We start from the raw sequence: 23,690 nt of genomic DNA, 5'->3' as shown, positions 1-23,690 counted from the left end.
AAAAGTGATCTGAATACATCAAAGCTTGGTCTCTCATGTATCTACTTTCACAGTATTTTAATTTTGTCAATTGACTCAATAATGCCCTTTAGAGCATTTTTTCCTTCCACTACAGGACCCGGTTTAGGGTAGTGCTTTTAATTGACATATCTCTTTAGTCTCCGTTAATCTAGAACATTTTTGCAGCCTCTTCTGTCTTTTATGATATTGACCTTTTGAAAAATACAGTCTGCACTCCTTTTTTAAAAAATATAATGATCCTTACTTTTTTTTTTCCAAGATGGAGTCACACTCAGTCGCCCAGGTTAGAGTGCAGTGGCACTATCTCAGCTCACTGCAACCTCCACCTCCCAGGTTCAAGCAATTCTCCTGCCTCAGCCTCCTGAGTAGCTGGGATTACAGGCATGCACCACCACACCTGGCTAATTTTTTTTTGTATTTTTAGCAGTGACAGGGTTTCACCATGGTCTTGGACTCCTGACCTTGTGATCCACCCACCTAGGTTCCCAAAGTGCTAGGATTACAGGTGTAAGCCACCACACCTGGCGTATTTTTTTTTTTTTTTTTTTTGAGATGGAGTCTAGCTCTGTCTCCCAGGCTGGAGTGCAGTGGCGCGATCTCGGCTCACTACAACCTCTGCCTCCCACGTTCAAGTGATTCTCCTGCGTCAGCCTCCCGAGTAGCTGGGATTACAGGCACGCACCACAACGCCCAGCTAATTTTTCTATTTTTAGTAGAGACGGGATTTCACCATGTTGGTCAGGCTGGTCTTGAACTCCTGACCTCGTGATCTGCCCGCCTCGGCCTCCCAAAGTGCTGGGGTTACAGGCATGAGCCACTGTGCCTGGGTTTTTTTTTGTTTGTTTTTTTCTGAGACAGGCTCTTGCCCTGTCACCCAGGCTGAAGTACAGTGGTGCAATCACAGCTCACTGCAGCCTTGACCTCCTGGACTCAAGCAAATCTCCCACCTCAGCCTCCTGAGTAGCTGGGACTACAGGCACACATCATCAAGCCCAGCTAATTTTTTTATTTTTTGTGGAGACAGGGTCTCACCATGTTGGCCAGCCTGGTCTTGAATGCTTGGGCTCAAGCGATTCTCCTGCCTTGGTCTTGCAAAGTGCTGGGATTACAAGCATGAGCCACCACCCCTGGCTGAATGCTCATTTTGGATTCAACTGATATTTCTTCATGATTAGATTCCGGTTATGCATTTCCAACCAGAACATGTGATACTGTATTTTCCTCAGTATATCCCATAGGGCAGCATACAACGTCCATCCGTACTCACTTTATAATGTCAATTTTTATCATCTAACCATAGTGTTACCATATTTCTCCACTGCACAGTTACTATTCCTTCCCTTGCAACCAATAAACAATCAGTGCAAAAACGAAGACTCTTTTTATTATGGAATTTTCAAATACATTTAAAAAACCAGAAAAGAGTATAATAAGCTTCCATGTTTATTCAACTACTAAATTGTGAAAGCAATCATCAGAAAACAAATCCTAGGTAGGCATGGTGGCTCATGCCTATAATCTCAGCACTTTGGGAGGCAGAGGTGGGCAGAACGCTTTAGCCCTGGAGTTTGAGACCAGCCTGGGCAACATAGAGAAACCCCATCTCTACTAAAAAATACAAAAATTAGCCAGGCATGTGGTACGCACCCATAGTCCCAGCTACTCAGGAAGCTGAGGTTGGAGGATCACCTGAGCCCATGACACGGAGGTTGCAGTGAGCTGATTTCACACCACTGCACTCCAGCCTGAACCACAGAGTGAGACCCTGTTTCAAAAAAAAAAAAAAGAAAAGAAACCAAATCCCAGAGGTTATATACTTTCACCTATGAATACTTCAGTATTTACTTTTCTAACAGATAAAAACTTTTAAAATACCAATGTCATTATTATACCCAAGAAAATTAACAATAATTTCTCAATATCACTCAATATCTGTCTATGTTCAAACTTTTATAACTATCTCAGTTTTTCTTATGGTTGGCCTGATCAAATCAGGATCCAATAAGGACCTCACATTACATCTGGCTGTTATACCTTAAGAGTTTCTCTTTTAATCACTGCCAGCTTCCCTTCCACTCTTTATGCCATTTATTTGCTGAAGAATATACATCATATGTCCTGTAGTGGAGTCCATATCTGGGATTTTGAACTTCTCATTTTTATTGACATGTACTATATACTTCTTGCAGATTTTTGCTCGTGTAGAAATCTAACTTACTATTATTTTTTGAGAGAGTCTCCCTTTGTCGCCCAGGCTGGTGTGCAATGGCACAATCACAGATTACTGGAGACTTGACCTTCCCAGCTCAACTAATCCTCCCACTAAGCCTCCTGAATAGCTAGGATCACGGGTGTGCATCACCACGCTTGGTTAATTTTTATTTTTTTTTGGTAGAGACAGAGTCTTACTGTGCTGCCCAGGGTGGTCTTGAACTCCTGGGCTCAAGCGATTCTCCCACCTTGGCCTCTCAAAATGCTGGGATTACAGGCATGAGCCACCATGCCAAGCTCAAAATTATTTTTATTTGTTGACTTTTATATATAGCAATTTTCTTAAACTTTTATTAATTATAATAATTCAGTTATACATTATTTTGGTTTTCTGTGCAGGATAATATCATCGGCAAATAACGACAGCATTATTTATTTCATTATAATCCAAATACTTTTTCTTCCTGTCTTACACCTTATTTACTAAAGGTTACACTTCAGTCAGAAGAAAAGTGTTTCCAGATGGAAGGTCTGAAATTCAAGAAAATAGGAAAATCAAAGATATTGGTAAATAAGTACAGAAATCTTGTTTAGAAAGAGTACAATAATAATAAAATAATACTTGTGGGGTTAAAAAAGAGAATTAAAATATATTATTACAAACCAGCCTGGGCAACATAGTGAGACCCCACCTTTACCAAAAAAATATTTTTTTAATTAGTTGAGGCCTAGGCATGGTGGTTCATGCCTGTAATCACAACACTTTGGGAGGCTGAGGTGGGTGGATTGCTTGGGCCCAAGTTTGAGACCAGCCTAGGCAACATAGCAAGACCATGTTACTATTTAAAAAAAAAAAATTAAATTAAAAAAATTGGCCGGGCATGGTGCCTAACACCTGTAATCCCAGCTCTTTGGGAGGCCGAGGTGGGCAGATCACCTGAAGTCAGCTCAAGACCAGCCTGGCCAACATGGTGAAACCCCGTCTCTACTAAAAAATACAAAAATTGGCCAGGCACAGTGGCTTACGCCTGTAATCCGAGCACTTTGGGAGGCTGAGGTGGGCGGATCACAAGGTCAGGAGTTTGAGACCAGCCTGACCAACATGGTGAAACTCCATCTCTACTAAAAATACAAAAAAAAAAAAATCGGCCAGGCGTGGTGGCAGGTGCCTGTAATCTCAGCTACTCGGGAGGCTGAAGCAGAATTGCTTGAACCCTGGAAGTGGAGGCTGCAGTGAGCTGAGATCGCGCCACTGCACTCCAGCCTGGGCGACAGTGCAAGATTCTGTCAAAAAAAAAAAAAATTAGCCAGGTGTGGTGGTGCATGCCTGTAATTCCAGCTACTCTGGACGCTGAGGCAGGAGAATCGCTTGAACCCAAGAGGCAGAGGTTGCAGTGAGCCTAGATCGCGCCACTGCACTCCATCCTGGGCGACAGAGCAAGACTCCATCTCAAAAAAATAAATAAATAAATAAAACTTAAAAACTTTTAAAAAAGAAGTCTGATCTCTTACCTATAGGTGACCAGCTTCATTAATTTCTGGCCTATCATTTTTGTACTTTTTTCAAACATAAGCAAACATATATATATATAAAACACTCTATGTATGTGAAAAACTATCCCTTCCTTTTTTCATACAAAAGGTAGTATACATAAAATATTAAAGTGGTTCTGTTGTTGTTGTTGTTGTGTTTTTCTTTTGACAGTCTTGCACAAGTTTTTCACTACTGCAAGCAAGGCTGTAGACAGGTCGTGGTGACCTAGCCTGCAGAAATGAACTCCAGACACCCCTGAGCAAGGTTAAAAGACGAAAAACAATTTCCTTTACTGTCTCTCTTGTACTATTAGTTATGACTATGTTTGCCAATGCTTGTATTTAGTAAGATTTGCAAAGTTCCTGTTTTTCTTTCGATGCAGCTGCTAGGCCACTAGCTATGCAAGGCCACAGGTTAGTGCCAGGTCAGCAGTTATGCTATGGATTACGTGATTTGTCACTGTAAAATTTACTGCCTTTGTTTTGATCTTGTATGCTGGCCTATATAAGCTAAACTCTGTTTTTGTTCAAGGCTCAGCTTTTTGGATGTGAATCCACTGAGCCGGTGAGTACCTTAAATAAACATCCTCCTGTCTTCCCAATATCGGTCTCTCTGGTCCTCAGTTTACCACAACAGCCTCAACAGCTCATGGCAGCGTCAACCTCCTGGGCTCAAGTGATTCACCTCAGCTTCCCAAGTAGCTGGGACCACAGGCTAAAGTGATTTTTAATGTAAGTATTTACAAGAAAATGTCCCAACTATTGCTGTAAAAAAAAGCCATATCTCTTTGCTTTGAGTATAGCTTGATTGATTCCCAGTAGGAGAAAGGGCATTTTCTTCCTCACTCAGAGTCTCTGGCATTGGCAGAAAAAAAAGCAAACATAACCCTGATCTGTGCCAGTAAGAAGTCCTCCAGCTCCAAAGCATTAGTACCAGAATATAGAAGGCAAGAGCACTTCAAAGAAGGCTCCAAATTTCTTAGTATTATTGATAGATGGCTAAAACTTGCTGATGAAGAGCTAACTTACAGTTTAATTTACTAAAATTCTCTGGTACCCCAAAATCAGGTAAAAGTACTGAAATTTTTAGTAAAAGGAAGAACAACTGTTTCCAAAAAACTATACAAATTATTCTAAACTTCATTTGGAAAAATAAATACCCAAGTATAACCAGGAAAATTCTGAAAAATAATCCAAATGTGGTGGGAACTAGCTTTCCCACATATTAAAACATTTTGTAAAACTAGAGCAATTAAAATAGTTTGGGCTGGGTAGAGTGGCTCACATCTGTAATCCTAGCACTTCGGGGGCTGAGGCAGGAGGATCACTTGAGCCCAGGAGTTTGAGACCAGCCTGGGCAACAAAGTGAGACTCCTCTACAAAAAAATTTTTTAAAAATAGCCAGGCATTATGGCGCATGTCTATAGTCCCACCTAATTGGGAAGATGAGCTGGGAGGACTGCTTAACCCCAGGAGATCAAGGCTGCAGTGAACTATGATGGTGCCAATGCACCCCAGCCTGGGTGACAGAGCGAGGCCCTGTCTCAATTAATTAATTAAGTAAACAGTCTGGTACTGGTACATGAATAGAGACTAAAGTAGCAGAGCAGAAAGTCCAGAAACAGAGCGCTATATGTGCAAGAATTTAATATACAACAGAGGTAGAATTTCGAGCAGAAGAGAAAAGATTAACTCTTAGGTCAATGCTGCTAGGACAAATGAGCAGCCATCTGAAGAAAAATCAAGTGGGCTTCCTAACTCACTTCCTGAAAGAAATCTCAGGGGGATAAAAAAATCTGACTATAAAAAATATAGACAATACAAATATATTTGAAAAATACAAAAATATAAGACCATAAAAATATCAGAAGAAAACTAATTATAAAAAGATCTGCCCAGGCACGGTGGCTCACACCTGTAATCCCAGCATGTTGGGATGCCGAGTCAGGAGGATTACTTGAGGTCAGGAGTTTGAGACCAGCCTGGCCAACATGGTGAAACTCCATCTCTACTAAAATTACAAAAATTAGCCGGCATGGTGGTGTGCGCCTGTAATCCCAGCTACTTGTGAGGCTAAGGCAGGAGAACCACTTAAACCTGGGAGGCAGAGGTTGCAGTGAAACGAGATCGCACCACTGCACTCAAGCCTGGGCAACAGAGCAAGATTCCATCTCAAAAAAAGAAAGACAGAAAGAAAGATCTCGGTTTAACTCAAAGGCATACAGAGCAAGATTCCATCTCAAAAAAAAGAAAGACAGAAAGAAAGATCTCGGTTTAACTCAAAGGCTTACAGAGCAAGACTCCATCTCAAAAAAAAAAAAAAAGATCTTGGTTTAACTCAAAAATGCAAAAGCCTTAAGAGACTGATAACTCTGGCTTCACAAAAACATGTTTCTCCATGTTAAATAAACAGTATAATCAAAGTCCAGATGCAACATGAAAAACTGTGGAAAATATTTGTAATGTGATAAAAGACAAATTTTTAAAATACACAGAGCCCTCAGAGATTAACGAAAAACCTCATTTGTTAAGCCAGACAAATATAAAGATACATAGATGGCTTTAAACCAGGGTTTCTCAACCTCTGCACTACTGACCTTTTGGACTACATAATTCTTTGTTGTACGGAATGCTTGTGAATTGTAGGATGTGCACCAGCATCCCTGTACTCTACTCACGAGATGCCATTAGCATCTCCATTCAATTGTGACTATCAAAAATGTCTTGAGATATTACCAAATGTCCTCTGGGGATCAAATTGTCCCTGGTTTAAATACACAAAGAGATCCAAATCCACACTTGTGATAAAATAAATGCAAATTTTAACAATAATGAGGTGACACTTTTTTCTCTAATTAGATTTTCATCATTAACTATTTTGCGGTTAGCCAACAAGTGGGATTAGAGGATCTCATTTATCCTTTTGGGTGTGCAACCCTTCTGGGGGGTCATCTGGAAATATCTGTCAAAATATAAAGTGCATTTCCTCTTTTTTCTTTTTGAGACAGACTCTCACTCTCTCTCGCAGGGTGGAGGGCAGGGCAGTGGCATGATCTCGGCTCACTGCCACCTCCGCCTCCAGGTTCAAGCGGTTCTCCTGCCTCAGCCTCCTGAGTAGCTGGGATTACAGGTGCCCGCTACCAGGTCCAGCTAATTTTTGTATTTGTAATTTTTGTAATTTTGTAGTTTTAGTGGAGACGGAGTTTCACCACGTTGGCCAGGCTGGTCTCGAACTCTTGACCTCCAGTGATCCGCCCGCCTCGGCCTCCCAAAGTGCTGGGACTACAGGCGTGAGCCACTGTGCCCAGCCACATTTACTCTTTGATCCAGCAATTTCACTTCCAGGAGTTTATCCTACATATACACTTATATATGTGCAAATAGATAAATACAAGTATAATTATGGAAGCAAAAAAAGAGTATCCAAAAAACTGGAAACAGTCTAGTATCCAACAATAGGGAACAGGTTAAATAAACAAAGGTATATTCATATACAGGTTGAGCAAACCAAATCTGAAAATCTGAAATCCGAACACGTCTGGAACCAAGCATTTTGGATAATGGATACTCAAGCTGTTACAGAATATTATGCAACCATTAAAAAGGAGGAGGGGCCAGGCGCAGTGGCTTACGCCTGTAATCCCAGCACTTTGGGAGGCCGAGGCAGACGGATCACGAGGTCATGAGATTGAGACCATCCTGGCTAACATGGTGAAACCCCGTCTGTACTAAAAATACAAAAAAATCAACAGGGCGTGGTGGCACGCGCCTGAAGTCCCAGCTACTCGGGAGGCTGAGGCAGGAGAATTGCGGGAGGCGGAGGCTGCAGTGAGCCGAGATCATGCCACTGCACTCCAGACTGGAAGACAGAGCGAGACTCCATCTCAAAAGAAAAAAAAAGGAGGCGGAAGATCTGCCATGTACTAAAAATGTATGTCCCTGGGCACAGCGGTGCATGCCTGTAATCCTAAATACTCCAGAGGCTAAGAAGGGAGGAACATCAGCCTGGGAGTTCAAGGCTACAGGCCAGTCTGGGCAACATGGGAGACCCCGTCTTTAAAAAAAACAAAGAAAGAATGTCCCAAGACATACCAACTAAAAGTAGCAAGACCAAGAATAGAGTCTGCTGCTATTTTTAAGAAAGGGTATGTGTGTGTGTGTGTGTGTGTGTGTGTGTATCCGGATGTATACAAATTATGTTCATACATGCACGAAATAGAAACGTAAGTAACTGGGGAACTAGATTTTAGGGATGGGGAGACTCACTTTTTACCCTATACTCTTTGAACTGTTTTAAGTCTTTGGCTATATGCCTGCATGTTTCAGGCAAATTACAAAATCTGACAACACGTCACTCAACTCAAGATACCCAGACCTTACATAAACCAGAAAGTAGAATGGTGGTTGCCAATGTACGAGCGGAGGTGGGGAAGAGGAGTTGTTTCATGGATAGAGTTTCAGCTTGCAGATGAAAAAAGTTCTGGAGATTGACTGCACAACGATATGAATCTACTTAACACTACTGAAGTGTACACTTAAAAAACGGTTAAGATGGCAGATTTTGTACGTATTTTAACACAATTTTTTAAGGTGAAAAAAAAATCCCCCAAAGATACCCATGTTTTAAGATCGGTTTAGTTTCTAATTTGGAAATCATTTTTTAAACACTCCATTATTACTCTAGAATTGAGCGTCAGGAACAAGTGAAAACTCTTTAAACTCTGGAGCTGCTCCTGCGACCTTTCACCTAGAACTCACACGCATTCGGCCAGGCACGCACTCCTGCTAAACTCAGGGAGGGCCGGCACTGGGGGCGGCGTGGTGACTCCCCCTCGGCCCTTTACCCGTGGAAAAGGTTTCTACACTGCTGCCATCCTGTAATACAAAAGTTTGTGTTCCTTTTCACACGTTACCGCAGATTCTCGGTGCACAGTGCCCAGCGCGGACCAGAGCTCAGAGCGTGCCCAGGCAGTATCCTTGACCTCCCACAGCCGGGCCGGCCAGCCCGGGCGATCCGCGGCGGCCCCACCGAGACGCGCCCTTCGCCCGACAGGGTCTCTCCCCGCGCCGCCCCTACCCCCTTACCCGGTGTTGGGTAACATGACTTTCGTAGATCAGAGGAGGTGGCGGCGACAGCGGCGGCGGCGAGCAGAGAGCTAAAGCTGGACCGTCCCTCCGCATTTATCCCCGCCCCTGCCCCGCCCCTGCCCCCCCCGATGCCTGTGCGGGAACTGCGCGCGGAAAAGCCGGGATCGCCGAGTGCGCCTGCGTATGCAGTGGGCCTCCTGCGCCCAGCGTTCCTCTTCGTCGCCTCCCAAGCCTGGTCCCTGATTGCAGGCTCTCCGCGCAGGCGCTTTGAGGCACAGCTCCGCCCCGCCCCCTCACTGGTCGTACGGTGACAATCAGGCTCCTGTCGGCGCCTAGCGTCTGGGCAGCGTCAGCCGCTACGTCCACCTTTTCCCTGTCTCTAGGGGTTTCTCCTCGCGCCGCTGTGTTCCAGCGCCGGCTCCGAGCTGGGAGGGTGACTGAGCCCTGAGCTTGGGCCCTCCGAGAGGTGCGTTAGCTCTGGGTCTTCTTGCCCCTACGCCCGAGCCTGGCGTTCTCTCGGCCCCCTCTTAGGAACGCTAGCCCTGGGCAGAAATTGCCTTTGTGGCTGAAGTCGGCCAGCGTCGCGTTTCCACTCTCCCGCCGAATCTGGACCCAAGCCAGCCTTCCCTTGTGCATCGGTAGATAGCTTGTGTTAAGGCGCCAGCTTCTTGGAACAGAGCTCTCTGCAAAAGTCGCGCTGAAGAATTCATAGTCAAAAGCTGAACTTGCAGAAGTTTCTACTTCTGGAATGAGTGTTGAAATGAGATCAATTCTGACATTCAGTTTCGCTTTTGGGATTATGCCTTGGACTAACTCAGCTACTCTGATGAGCTAAAGACTGTAGTATATTTGAAGGAAGACACGAGGAACTGTTTTGTATTTTGTAGGGATAGAACAGGACCTTGAGGAGATTATTATATGAAGACTAGTTAAAGAAACTAGCCTGGAGATGGCTTATGTACTCTCTCCTTTGTTTTTGTTTTGTTTTTTGAGACGGAGTCTCGCTGTCGCCCACGCTGAAGTGCAGTGGCGCGGATCTCGGCTCATTGTAACCTCCGCCTCCCGGGTTCAAGTGATTCTCCTCCCTCAGCCTCCGGAGTAGCTGGGACTACAGGCATGCATCACCACGCCTGGCTAATTTTTTTGTGTTTTTAGTAGAGACGGGGTTTCGCCATGTTGGGCTGGCTGGTCTCGAGCTCCTGACCTCAAATGATTGGCCCGCCTCGGCCTTCCAAAGTGCTGGGATTACAGGCGTGAGCCTCCGCGCCCGGCCTCTCTCCCCTTTGTTATGGGCCCTAAATGACTCTATTTCCTCCTGCATATCACCTGCCCGACTCCTGTAGGCATTTGAATTGATGATTCATGATACGGTCTTTAGAGGCTCCAGAGGAATTTGCAAATTATTATCATCCACTAAGTGATTGCTGATTACCTGAGATACAGCAGCTCAAAAAGGACAAGGTCTCTGCCTATGGGAGGTATGAGTAGCCAGTGTGTTCTTTAGACTGTTGTTAAGCATTAGGTGTTTTAAGAAGAGTGTTGATAGAGACTGTTAGATGAAAATAACTTACTCTCCTCTCATCCTTAGGAGCACTTGCTGAAGCGTGTATATATCTGTCGAATAGAGTGAATTCTTAGTAACGGGGTGACATTTCCTTCATATCATCTAAAATGTTCTCTCCTTTTTGAAAGCCACAATATCTTCAGTCTGTTAGAGCCTCCTTTCTTGAATTTGTGTGCTTCTATTTCCATTTGTTACGGAAAGAGAGCTCAACGAAGAGGCAAAGCAAACAAAAAACCTTTGCCAATTTTTCAGTCATAACGATATTTTGTGAGCCTAAATACCTGTACTTACACTATTTTTATACTTTGCGATGGCTTTCACAGAAGGCAAATATATTCCTAAATTATTAGAGGTAGTTTTACCAAGCAAGTTTAAATCCATTGTATTCAGTACTTTGACTAGAGTTCATTTAAAGTGTGATTTGGAGTTACCCATGACCTTCTACCCCATTACCTTGATTAACCTAGTGTTAGATTAATGCTAGAGGTGAGGAATGGGTGAAGGAGAGGACTTGTGAACATAATTAGATCTTCATTTTGGAAGGTGAATAATTTTGGCTTAGAACACTTCTGACTGCAGCATGAAGAATAGTTTGTGAGTAGATAAAGGCACAGAAGCCATTTAAAAGCCCATAGTAATGTAATGTGTAAGAAAAGTAGTAACCTGAACTAAGGCAGTAATAGTAGAAATGAAAAGACATACTCAAGATATGGAACCTGGCAGATGTAACTAATGATTAGATGTAGGAGCAAAGGGGGAAGATGGTATCAGTGGTGACCTTCAGATTTCTGGTGTAAAGTCCTGGGAGGATGGTGATAACACAGTAAAGAAGTGAAAACAAATGGTTTGAAAAATAGATGTCTTGAAAGTCAGGTAAGTCTCACTCATTTCACCCCTTCTCAGCTTGATAAAACTACCTAAAAATGCAACAGTTTCCTGACAGACTACTGGTTACAACACATTCTCCCAACCAATTTATATCCCTTAAGTTTTGGTTATATGCAACATTAATGTAATTTGGCTAATTTAAACCAAATTAAAGGGGTTGGAGAATTTAGAAGAATTCTGGGATAGTTTATATAACTTAAGGAAGAGCTGAACAACTAAGCTTGACAATGGGAACTAAGGTGCTTCCATGATCCTCAGCAGCATGATCTTTCTAGAATGCATTGTAGGTGGCTTCCCTGTCTTTTCTGTGTATCTGTTCAAGCTTCAAATACTAAGACAGTCTAGTACAATGTGTTTCGTTTTGTTTTGTTTTTTTGAGATAAGATCTTGCTCTGTCACCCAGGCTGGAGTGTAGCAGCATGATCATGGCTCACTGTAGCCTCAACCTCCTGGGCTCAGCCACCCAAGTAGCCAGGACCACGGGCATGTGCCACCACACCTGGCTAATTTTACTTTTTATAGACACAGGGGTCTCACTATGTTGCCCAGGTTGGTCTTGAACTCCTCACCTCAAGCAATCCTCCCACCACACAGCCTTCCAAGGTGCTGGGAAATGTTTCAACCTGTAAATTAGTTGGCCATGGCCAGGGACACAAGTGGATATGGACAATGGGGAAGTAACACAACATTGCATACCTACCTACCCCAGGTCATGGAAGTTGCGTAAATGTAGAGCAAGTAAATTGGCATTCATAATTCTGGGAAGAAAGGGGTCATAAAACTTTTTATTTCATAGGGCTTGTGATGGTTAATACTGAGTGTCAACTTGATGGTATTGAAGGATGCAAAGTATTGGTCTTGGGTGTATCTGTGAGGGTATTGCCAAAGGACATTAACATTTGAGTCAGTGGGCTGGGAAGGGCAGACCCACCCTTAATCTGAGTGGGTACCATCTAATCAGCTGCCAGTGAATATAAGACAGGCAGAAAAACCTGAAAAGATGAGACTGGCCTAGCCTCCCAGCCTACATCCTTCTCCTGTGCGTTTATCCCCTTCTTGCCCTCCAACATCAGACTCCAGGTTCAGTTTCGGGACTTGGACTGGCTCTCCTTGCACCTCAGCTTGCAGATGGCCTATTATGGGACCTTGTGATCATGTGAGTTAATACTTAATAGGCTGGGCGCGGTGGCTTATGCCTGTAATCCCAGCACTTTGGGAGGCCGAGGCAGGCGGATCACAAGGTCAAGAGATGGAGACCATCCTGGCCAACGTGGTGAAACCCCATCTCTACTAAAAATACAAAAAGTAGCTGGGCGTGGTAGCACACACCTGTAGTCCCAGCTACTCGGGAGGCTAAGGCAGGAGAATCGCTTGAACCTGGGAGGCGGAGGTTGCAGTGAGCGGAGACCACGCCACTGCACTCCAGCCTGGTGACAGACCGAGACTCTTTCTCAAAAAAAAAAAAAAAAAAAACTTAATAAACTCCCCTACACACACACACACACACACACACACACACACACACACGTATATAAGGAAGTAATAGGATATATATATATATATATATATCCTCTAGAGAACCCTGACTAATACGGATTTTGGTACCAGAAGTAGGGTCCAGAACAGGAGAAGGCTCTGCAACAGGTCCAGGCTGCTGTGCAAGCTGTTCTGCCACTTGGGCCATATGACCCAGCAGATCCAATAGTGCTTGAGGGATGAGTGGCAGATAGGGATGCTATTTGGAGCCTTTGCCAGGCCACCATAAATGAATCACAGTGGAGGCCTCTAGGATTTTGGAGCAAGACCCTGCCTTCTTCTGCAGATAACTACTCTCCTTTTGAGAGACAGCTCTTAGCCTGTTACTGGGCTTTGGTGGAAACTGAACGTTTGACTATGGGTCATTAAGTCACCATGTGACCTGAACTGCCTATCATGAACTGGATGCTTTCTGACCCATCTAGCCATAAAGTGGGTCGTGCACAGCAGTATTCCATCATCAAGTGGAAGTGTTATATGCATGATTGGGCTCTAGCAGGTCCTGAAGGCACCTGAGGAATAAGTTACATGAGGAAGTGGCTCAAATGCTCATGGTCTCCGCTCGTGCCACCCTGCCTTCTTTGCCCTAGCCTGCACCAGTGGCCTCATGGGGAGTTCCCTATGATCATGATCAGTTGACATGATCAGTTGACAGAGGAAGAGAAGACTAGGGCCCGGTTCACAGATGGTTTTGCATGATACGCAGGCATCATCTGAAAGTGGACAGCTGCAGCACTACAGCCCCTTTCTAGGACATCCCTGCAGGCCAGCAATAAAGGGAAATCTTCCCAGTGGGCAGAACTTCCAGCAGTGCACCTGGATGTGCACTTTGCATGGAAGGAGAAATGGCCAGATGTATGATTATACACTAATTCATGGGCGGTAGCCAGTGATTTGGCTGGATGGTCAGGGACTTGGAAGAAGCAAGATTGGAAAATTGGTGACAATAAAATTTGGGGAAGAGGTATGTAGATGGACCTCTCTGAATGCTCAAAAACTGTGAAGTGCTAACCAACGGGTGACCTTAGCAGAGGAGGATTTTAATAATCAAGTGGATAGGATGACTCGTTCTGTGGACACCACTCAGCCTCTTTCCCCAACCACCCCTGTCATCATCCAGTGGACCCGTGAACAAAGTGGCCATGGTGGCAGGGATGGAGGTTATTCATGGGCAACAGGGACTTCCACTCACCAAGGCTGACCTGGCTACAGCCACTGCTGAGTGCCCAATTTGCCAGCAGCAGAGACCAACACTGAGCCCTCAATATGGCACAGTTCCTCATGGTGATAAGCCAGCTACCTGGTGGCAGGTTGATTATATTGAACCTCTTCCATCATGGAAAAGGCAGAGGTTTGTCCTCACTGGAATAGACACTTACTCTGGATATGGGTTTGCCTATCTTGTACACAATGCTTCTGCCAAGACTACCATCCATGGACTCACAGAATGCCTTATCCACTGTCGTGGTATTCCACACAGCATTGCCTCTGAACAAGATACTTACTTTATGGCTAAAGAAGTGTGGCAGTGGGCTCATGCTCATGGAATTCACTGGTCTTACCATGTTCCCCATCATCTTGAAGCAGCTGGATTGATAGAACAGTGGAATGGCCTTTTGATGTCACAATTACAACACCAACTAGGTGACAATACTTTGCAGGGCTGGGGCAAAGTTCTCCAGAAGGTTGTGTATGCTCTGAATCAGTGTTCAATATATGGTACTGTTTCTCCCATAGCCAGGATTCATGGGTCCAGGAATCAAGGGGTAGAAGTGGAAGTGGCACTACTTACCGTAACGCCCAATGATCCACTAGCAAATATTTGCTTCCTGTTCCTGTGACATTACATTCTGATGGCCTAGAGGTCTTAGTTCCAGAGGGAGGAATGCTGCCACCAGGAGACACAACAATGATTCCATTAAATGGGAAGTTAAGATTGCCACCTGGACATTTTGTGCTCCTCCTACCTTTTAAGTCAATGGGCTAAGAAGGGAGTTAGTGTTGCCTGGTGTGATTGACCCGGATTATCAAGATGAAATCAGTCTACTACTCCACAGTATTCACAGGAGATCCATTAGGGCATCTCAGTGTTACCATACCCCGTGGTTAAGGTCGATGGGAAACTACAGCAGCCCAATCCAAGCAGGACTATAAATGGCCCAGACCCTTCAGAAATGAAAGTTTGGGTCACCCCACCAGGAAAAAAAAACCACGACCTGCTGAGCTGCTTGATGAAGGCAAAGGGAATACAGAATGGGTAGCAGAAGAAGATAGTCATCAATACCAGCTATGACCACGTGACCAGTTGCAGAAACAAGGACTGTAATTGTCATGAGTATTTCCTTCTTTTGTTAAAAACATGTTTGTGTAGGTGTACACTTGTACTAAGAAAATATCTTCATTTTATTTCCTTTTTCCTTTATCATGTGACATAAGATTTATTGACTTCATGTCAGCATTTAAGTATTGTTAACTTTATGTAACAGCATTTGGATTGGGGAAGGATAGTTGTATTATGTTAGGCGGAATTCTGATCTTATTGTCTTTATTTGAAGATTACGTATGTTCTCAGGAGATGTGTATGGGTTCAAGTTGACAAGGGGTGGACTTGTGATGGTTAATACCGAGTGTCAACTTAATTGGATTGCAGGATGCAAAGTATTGATCCTCGGTGTGTCTGTGACAGTGTTGCCAAAGGAGATTAAAATTTGAGTCAGTGGGCTAGGGAAGGCAGGCCCACCCTTAATCTGGGTGGGCACCATCTAATCAGCTGCCAGTGAATACAAAGCAGGCAGAAAAAATGTGAAAAGGTTAGAATGGCCTAGCCTCCTAGCCTACATCTTTCTCCCAAGCTGGATGCATCCTGCCCTTGAACATCAGACTCCAGGTTTTTCAGTTTTGGGGCTCAGACTGGCTCTCCTTGTTCCTCAGCTTGTACATGGCTTATTGTGGGACCTTGTGATCATGTGAGTTAATACTTAATAAACTCATGTAGGCTGGGCCTGGTGGCTCATGCCTGTAATCCCAGCACTTTGGGAGGCTGAGATGGGCAGATCACAAGGTCAGGAGATCGAGACCATCCTGGCTAACACGGTGAAAGCCTGTCTCTACTAAAGATACAAAAAAAAATTAGCCGGGCATGGTGGCGGGCACTGTAGTCCCAGCTACTTGGAAGGCTGAGGCAGGAGAATTGCTTGAACCTGGGAGAGGCTGCAGTGAGCTGAGATCGCACCATTGCATTCCAGCCTGGGCAACAAGAGTGAAACTTCATCTCAAAAAAAAAAAAAAAAGAAAGCCTATGAATTCAAGGAAGTACGTATATGTTCACGGCAGCATTATTCATAATAGCCAAAAGGTGGAAACAAATGTCTATCAACTAATGAATGGATAAACACAATATGGTATATGCATTCAATAGAATATGATTCAGCTATAAAAAGGAATGAAGTACTGATACATGCTAAAATATGAATGAACCTCAAAAACGTTGTGCTAAGTGAAAGAAGGCAGACACAAAAGGTCACCTATTTTATGATTCCATTTCTATAAATAATGTCCATAATAGGTAAATCTGTAGAGATAGAAAGCAGATTGGTGGCTGCCAGAGGCCAAGGGAAGGGGGCAATAGAGAGTAACTGCTTAATTGGTATGGAGTTTCGTTTTGGGGTGATGAAAATGTTATGGGACTAGATAGAGGTAGTAGTCACACAACATAGTAATTATACTAAATGTCAATGAAAATTTCACTTTAAGATTGTTAATTTCATATGTGAATTCCACCTCGTTTTTTTAAACAAAAAAATTTATGGAAAACCAGGTGCAGTTGCTCATGCATGTAATCCCAGCACTTTAGGAGGCCAAGGCAGGAGAATTGCTTGAAGCCAGGAGTTCAAGACCAGCCTGGCAACATAGTGAGACCCTGTCTCTACAAAAAAAATTCTTTTAATTAGCTGGACATGGTGACATGTGCCTGTAGTTCCAGGTACTCAGGAGGGCTGAGGAGGGAGGATCACTTGAGCCCAGGAGCTTGAGGGGGCTGAAGTAAGTTATGATTGCACCACTACACTCCAGCCTTGGTGACAGAATAAGACCTTGTCTCTGAAAAGAAAAAAGAATCTATGGAAGAAAAATTTTTAACAGAACATGGCTGATGCAGAAAACTCTTCAAGACCCAGCCCCCTTTTTACAGTTGTGCTTTGGAGAACAATACCTAAGCAATGAAGAATAAACCAGGTCAAGCAACAGAACATGACTCCATCTCTACAAAAAATAAAACAAAAAAATAGCCATTAGCCAGATGTGGTGGTGCATGCCTGTGATCCCAGCTACTTGGGAGGCTGAGGCAAAAGGATCCCTTATGCTTGGGTGGTTGAGGCTGCAGTGGGCCATGATCATGCCACTGCACTCTAGCCTAGGTGACAGAGTGAGATGCTGTCTCAAAAAACAAAAATGAATGAATTGTGAACTAAGAAATAAAGGTGTAACTTTTATGACTACCTTGAGCACCAGTGGGATCTGGTAAAAAAAAAAAAAAAAAAAAAAATCTACTAAAAACTTCTCCAGTTCTCATTCTCCTGGATTTTGGAAGCAGAACCGATCTATGAATTGAGAAATACACCAAAGCTCTTGAACAATGTGTGGAGGAGAGTGCTCTAATAAGTTTATTTTGCATTCTCCAAGGTAATAATTTTATATCTTTTCATGTGGAATGTCCACCAACCTCTTCTAGCAGTTTCATAGTTGAGTTGAAACAGATGAATTAGGGGTTCACGTGAAAAATCCAAGTGCAATTAGTAGGAGCAATCCAGTATTGAGAAAACAAGACAGCAAGTAGTAGGTCAAGGATGTAGAATGAGGCAGCAAGGAGTCTAGCAGTAAGAAACATGTTGAAATCTGGACAGTAAGTAGTTGGGCATTAACCACAGAGGTTGGGGAGAACTGCAGTCTTTAGGAAATGATTCATATGATTATTTCAGGTGCTATACCCAAAACAGGTGAGTAAGACAAAGATGTCTACTTTGGGCACTTATATTCAACATTGTACTGGGGGCAATAGCCAGAACAATTAGATAAGAAAAAGAAAAAAAGCACCCAGACTGGAAAGGAAGGAGTAAAACTATCTTTACTTGCAGATGACATGATCTTATATCTAGAAAAACCTAAGGAATCCACAAAAAAAAACTACTAGAGCTAATAAATGAATTTACTAAGGTTGTAGGAGGCAGAATATTAAAAATGCAACCTTATTTATATACACTAGTAATAAATAATCCAAAAAGGAAATTAATAAATTTCATTTATAAGAACATCAAAATGAATAAAATACATGGAATAAATTTAGCCAAAAAATGCAAGATTTATACAAAAACTAAAAAACGTTGCTGAAAGAAACTGAAGAAGACCTAAATAAATGGCAAGGCATTCCAGTTCATGGGTTGAAAGACTTAAAATTGTCAAATTACAATACTCCTCAAAGCAATCTACAAATTCAATACAATCCCTATCAAAATTATAATAGCTTTATTCATAGAAATGGAAAAGCCAATCCTCAAATTAATGTGGACTTGTGAGACATCCCCAATAGCTAAGACAATTTGAAAAAGAACAACACAATTGGAGGACTCATACTTCCAGATTTTTTTTTTAATTGAAACGGGGTCTCACTCTGTCATCCAGTCTGGAATGCAGTAGCGCAATCTCGGTTCACTGCAACCTCCACCTCCTGGGCTCAAGTGATCCTCCCATCTCAGCCTCCTGAGTAGCTAGGACCACAGGCATGCATGACCACACCACTATTTTTTTGTATTTCTGGTGGAGATAGGGTTTTGCCATGTTGTCCAGGCTGGTCTTGAACTCCTGAGCTCAAGTAATCCACCTGCCTCAGCCTCCCAAAGTGCTGGGATTACAGGCATGAGCCATTGCACCTGGCCCACACTTCCATATTTTAAAACTTACTATAAGGTTACAGTAATCAAAAGTGGGAGCAGTGACATCAGCAAGATGGTAGAAGAGGATTTTCCAGCATTTGTTCCCTTGCAGAAACATTGTATTAGTCCATTTTTATACTGCTATTAAGAAACACCTGAGACTGGATCATTTATAAAGAAAAAGAGGTTTAATAAGCTCACAGTTCCACATGGCTAGGGAGGCCTCTCAATCATGGCAGAAGGCAAAGGAGGAGCAAAAGCATGTCTTACATGGTGGCAGGCAAGAGTGTGTGTGCAGGGGAACTGCCTTTTATAAAATCATCAGATCTCATGAGATTTATTCACTATCATGAGAAAAGCATGGGAAAACTGGCCCCTATGATTCAGTTACCTTCACTGGGTCCCTCCCATAATACCATAACACGTGGGTATTATGGGAGCTACAATTTGAGATGAGATTTGGGTGGGGACACAGCCAAACCATATCATTCTGTCCCTGGCCTCTCCCAAATCTCCTGTCCTCGCATTTCAAAACACAATCATGCCTTCCCAACAGTCCCCCAGAGTCTTAACTCATTTCAGCATTAATTCAAAAGTTCATAGTCTGAAGTCTCATCTGAGACAAGGCAAGCCTCTTCCACCTATGAACCTGTAAAATCAAAAGCAAGTTAGTTACTTCCTAGATACAATGTGAGTACAGGCATTCAGTAAATACACCCATTCCAAATGGGAGAAATTGGTCAAAATCAAGGAGCTAAAGGCCCCATGCAAGTCCAAAATCCAGAGGGATAGTCAAATCTTAAAGCTGCAAAATAATCTCCTTTGACTCCGTGTCTCACATCCAGGTCACAGTGATGCAAGTGGTGAGTTCTCATGGTCTTGGGCAGCTCCACCTCCATGGCTTTGCAGGGTACAGACGCCCTCCCAGCTGCTTTCACAGGCTGATGTTGAGTGTCTGTGACTTTTCCAGGTACATGGTGCAAGCTGTCAGTGGGTCTGTCATTCTAGGACCTGGAGGATGGTGGCCCTCTTCTCACAGCTCCACTAAGCAGTATCCCAGTGGGGACTCTGTGTAGGGGTTTCCACCCCAAATTTCCCTTCCACACTGCCCTAGCAGAGGTTCTCCATGAGGGCTCTGCCCCTGCAGCACACCTCTGCTTGGACATCCAGGTGTTTCTATACATCCTGTGAAATCTAGGTGGAGGTTCCCAATCCTTAATTCCTCACCTCTTTGCATCTGCAGGCACAAGACCTCGTGTAAGCCATCAAGGCTTGGGGATTGGACCCTCTGAAGCAATGGCCTGAGCTGTACATTGGCCCCTTTTAGCCATGGCTGGGGCACAGGGCACCAAGCAGCAAGGCCCTGGCCCTGGCCCATGAAACCATTTCTTTCTCCTAGGTCTCCCAGCTTGTGATGGGAGGGACTGCCGTGAAGACCTCTGACATGCCCTGGAGACATTTTCCCCCGTTGTCTTGATAATTGACATTTGGCTCCTCGTTACTTATGCAAATTGGCTAAGTTCACAGAGGTATTTCATCTCCCCTGGCCCAAAGCACTCCCACTAGTGCTGCATACACTCCAATCCATCCCTTTGGGAAAACATCAATTGTCCCCTTATGAAATTATAATGGGAAGGCCCATGTGTATGGGAATGAAAATAACCAATCCAACTTTTCTCAAGGGAGTTATATTGTAATATTGTGAGGGAATCATTTATCACCTTAAAAAAAAAAAGCCAAGATTTGATAAAGAATTCCTTTCACAGTGTGCTCCCTGAAGATAAGGTACCTGGGCTGGGCACGGTGGCTCACACCTGTAATCCCAGCACTTTGGGAGGCCAAGGTGGGTGGATAACTTGAGGTCAGGAGTTCGAGACCAACCTGGCCAACATGGCGAAACCCTGTCTCTACTAAAAATACAAAAATTAGCTGGGTGTGGTGGCGCACGCCTGTAATCCCAGCTACTCAGGAGGCCGAGGCACAAGAATCGCTTAAACCTGGGAGACAAAGGTTGCAGTGAGCCGAGGTTGCACCATTGTACTCCAGCCTGGGCAACAGAATGACGCTCTGTCTCAAAAAATAAAAAATACAAATACAAAAATTAGCCAGGCATGGTGGTGCATGCCTGTAGTCCCAGCTACTAGAGAGGCTGAGGTGGGAGGATTGCTTGAATCCAGGAGGCAGAGTTTGCAGTGAACCAAGATTGTGCCACTGCACTCCAGCCTGGGTGACAGAGTGAGACTTCGTCTCAACAACAACAATGAAAAGAACAAAAAGAAAAAAAAACTGAAGAAAGCCTACAGGAATCATGGGATATCATCAAACAAACTAATATATACATTATGGGAGTTCCAGAAGGAACAGTGAAAGAGAAGGGGGCAGAAAACTTATTTAAAGAAACAATGACAGAAAACTCCCCAAATTGGGAAGGGAAATGAACATCCAAATCCATGAAACCCAAAGAATCCCAAATAGATTAAATATAAAGAGATCTTCACTGAGGCCCATTATAATCAAATCATCAAAGTCAAAGATAGAAAGAATTTTGAAAGCAGCAAGAGAAAAGGAACTCATTACATACAAGGGAACCATCATAAGATTATCATTGCATTTCTCAGTAGAAACCTTGCAGGCCAGGAAACCATGGGAATATATTCAAAATGTTGAAAGATGAAAAAACTTGGCAACTAACAATACTATACCTGACTAAGAATACTATACCTGCCAACTAACAATACTATACTGTTCTGAAGGTCAGTAATGCTGTCCTTCAGAAATAAAGGAGATAAGAACCTAGCCAAAAAACAAAACAAAACAAAAAAACCCAAAACACAAACAAAAAAACCTGTGGGAGTTCATCACCACTACATCTGCTTTACAAGAAATGCTAAAGGGAGTTCTTTGTGTTGAAACAAAAGAATAATAGCTAACAAAATGAAAACATGCAAGTATAACATTCACTGTAAGGGTAAAAATAGTCAAATTCAGAATACTCTAATATAGTAATGGGGGTACATAAATCACTTTTAACTGTAGTCTAAAGTTTTTTTATGTATTAAAATATAGCTATAATAATTTGGTCATGGATAGACAACATACAAATTGTAACATCAATAACATAAAATGTGGGAAGAAAAGTTAAAATGCAAAGTTCTTGTGATGAAAGTTAAGCTAGTGTCAACTTAAAATAGACTGTGATAAGATATTTTATGTTAGGCTCATGGTAACCACAAAGAAAGCAGGGCAGTCAAATCTTAAAGCTCCAAAATGATCACCTTTGACTCCATGTCTCACATCCAGGCCATGCTGATGCAAGAAGTGAGTTCCCACAGTCCTGGGCAGCTCCACCCCTGTGGCTTTACAGGGTATAGCCCCCCTCCTGGCTGCTTTCACAGGCTAGGATTGAGTGTCTGCAGCTTTTCCAGGTGAATGGTGAAAGCTGTCAGTGGATCTATCATTCTGGGGCCTGGAAGACGGTAGCCCTCTTCTCACAGCTCCACTAGGTGGTGCCCCACTAAGGACTGTGTGGAGGCTCTGATTCTACCTTTCCCTTCTGCACTACCCTAGCAGCGGTTCTCCATGAGGGCCCACCCCTGCAGCAAACTTCTGCCTGGGCATCCAAGCATTTCTACGCATCTTTGGAAATCTAGGTGGAGGTTCAGAAACCCCAAATCTTCTGTGAACTTGCAGGCTCACCACCACGTGGAAGCTTCCGAGGATTGGGGTTTGAACCCTCGGAAGCCATGGCCCAAGCTCTATATTGGCCCCTTTCATCCATGGCTGGAGTGGCTGGAAAGCAGGGTGCCAAGTCCCTAGGCTGCACACAGCTTGGGAACACTGGACCCAGTTCATGAAACCATTTTTTCCTCCTGTGATGGGAGGGGCTGCCATGAAGACCTCTGACATGCCCTGGCAACATTTCCCCCATTCTCTTGGGAATTACCATTCAGCTCCTCATTACTTATGCAATTTTTTTTTTTTGAGACAGAGTCTTACTCTATTGCCCAGGCTGGAGTGCAATGGTGTGTCTTGGCTCACTGCAATCTCCGCTTCCTGGGTTCAAGCAATTATTGTGCCTTAGCCTCCTGAGTAGCTGGGACTACAGGCATGCACCCCCACACCCAGCTAATTTTTGTATTTTTAGTAGAGACTGGGTTTCACCATGTTGGCCAGGCTGGTTTCGAACTCCTGACCTCATGATCCACCCACCTTGGCCTCCCAAAGTGCTGGGATTACAGGCCACTGTGCCCAGCCACTTATGCAAATTTCTGCAGCTGGCTTGAATTTCTCCTCAGAAAATGGGATTTTCTTTTCTATCGCATTGTCACGCTGCAAATTTTCAGAACTCTGCTTCCCTTATAAAATGGAATGCCTGTAACAGCACCCAAGTCACTTTTGCTCCAGTTATCAACAAGTTTCTCATCTCCATCTGAGACCACCTCAGCCTGGATTTCATTATCCATATCATTATCAGCATTTTGATCAAAACTATTCAACAAGTCTCTAGGGAGTTCCAAACTTCTCCACGTTTTCCTGTCTTCTTCTGAGCCCTCCAAACTGTTCCAACCTCTGTCTATTACCGGTTCCAAAGTCACTTCCACATTTTTCGGTATCTTTTCAGCAGCACCCCACACCACTGGTACTAATTTACTGTATTAGTCCATTTTCATGCTGCTGATAAAGACATACCCAAGACTGGACAATTTACAAAAGAAAGGGGTTTAATGGACTTACAGTTCCACATGGCTGGGGAAGCCTCACAGTCATGAAGGAAGGCAAGACGGAGCAAGTCACATCTTACATGGATGGCAGCAGACAAAGCGAAAGAGTGTGTGCAAGGAAACTCCCATTTTTAAAACCATCAGATCTCATGAGACTTATTCACTCTCATGAGAACAGCAAGGGAAAGACCCACCCCCATG

The 23,690-nt window shown here is 43.6% G+C and overlaps 2 protein-coding genes across 9 annotated transcripts in view, besides 6 other annotated features; one reads left to right on the top strand and one right to left on the bottom strand.

Moving 5' to 3' along the window:
• HSDL2 (hydroxysteroid dehydrogenase like 2) overlaps window positions 1-8,923 on the bottom strand; it is a 92,298-nt gene extending 83,375 nt beyond the window's left edge. For all 5 annotated transcript variants that reach the window (NR_036651.2, NM_032303.5, NM_001195822.2 and 2 more), the window contains exon 1: window positions 8,851-8,923. Coding sequence is in view for 3 of the 5 variants with exons in the window: in NM_032303.5 (NP_115679.2) it covers window positions 8,851-8,867 (17 nt within the window). In the remaining 2 variants the exon portion in view is untranslated. The remainder of the gene's footprint in view (window positions 1-8,850) is intronic.
• Window positions 8,720-8,969: a silencer, noted in NCBI's record as "silent region_20191". NCBI's record gives its function as "represses an Ori minimal core promoter by ATAC-STARR-seq in GM12878 lymphoblastoid cells {active_cell/tissue: GM12878}" and the evidence as "EXISTENCE:reporter gene assay evidence [ECO:0000049][PMID:35858748]".
• Window positions 8,720-9,340: a biological region, named in NCBI's record as "H3K27ac hESC enhancer GRCh37_chr9:115141971-115142570".
• Window positions 8,741-9,340: an enhancer, noted in NCBI's record as "H3K27ac hESC enhancer chr9:115141971-115142570 (GRCh37/hg19 assembly coordinates)". NCBI's record gives its function as "activates a minimal SCP1, AML or CMV promoter by ChIP-STARR-seq in primed H9 embryonic stem cells {active_cell/tissue: H9 hESC(primed)}" and the evidence as "EXISTENCE:reporter gene assay evidence [ECO:0000049][PMID:30033119]".
• The window catches only part of PTBP3 (polypyrimidine tract binding protein 3), a 162,168-nt gene continuing 147,626 nt past the window's right edge, over window positions 9,149-23,690 (top strand). For all 4 annotated transcript variants that reach the window (XM_047424272.1, XM_047424274.1, XM_047424273.1 and 1 more), the window contains exon 1: window positions 9,149-10,331. The gene's annotated coding sequence lies outside the window, so the exon portion shown is untranslated. The remainder of the gene's footprint in view (window positions 10,332-23,690) is intronic.
• Window positions 9,190-9,309: an enhancer, noted in NCBI's record as "active region_28824". NCBI's record gives its function as "activates an Ori minimal core promoter by ATAC-STARR-seq in GM12878 lymphoblastoid cells {active_cell/tissue: GM12878}" and the evidence as "EXISTENCE:reporter gene assay evidence [ECO:0000049][PMID:35858748]".
• Window positions 9,340-9,589: an enhancer, noted in NCBI's record as "active region_28823". NCBI's record gives its function as "activates an Ori minimal core promoter by ATAC-STARR-seq in GM12878 lymphoblastoid cells {active_cell/tissue: GM12878}" and the evidence as "EXISTENCE:reporter gene assay evidence [ECO:0000049][PMID:35858748]".
• Window positions 9,690-9,739: an enhancer, noted in NCBI's record as "active region_28822". NCBI's record gives its function as "activates an Ori minimal core promoter by ATAC-STARR-seq in GM12878 lymphoblastoid cells {active_cell/tissue: GM12878}" and the evidence as "EXISTENCE:reporter gene assay evidence [ECO:0000049][PMID:35858748]".

This window comes from Homo sapiens, chromosome 9 (assembly GCF_000001405.40).
Source record: "Homo sapiens chromosome 9, GRCh38.p14 Primary Assembly".
NCBI lineage: Eukaryota > Metazoa > Chordata > Mammalia > Primates > Hominidae > Homo > Homo sapiens.
The sequence above is the reverse complement of the archived record's forward strand: the minus strand, read 5'-3'. Positions and strand labels throughout refer to the sequence as shown.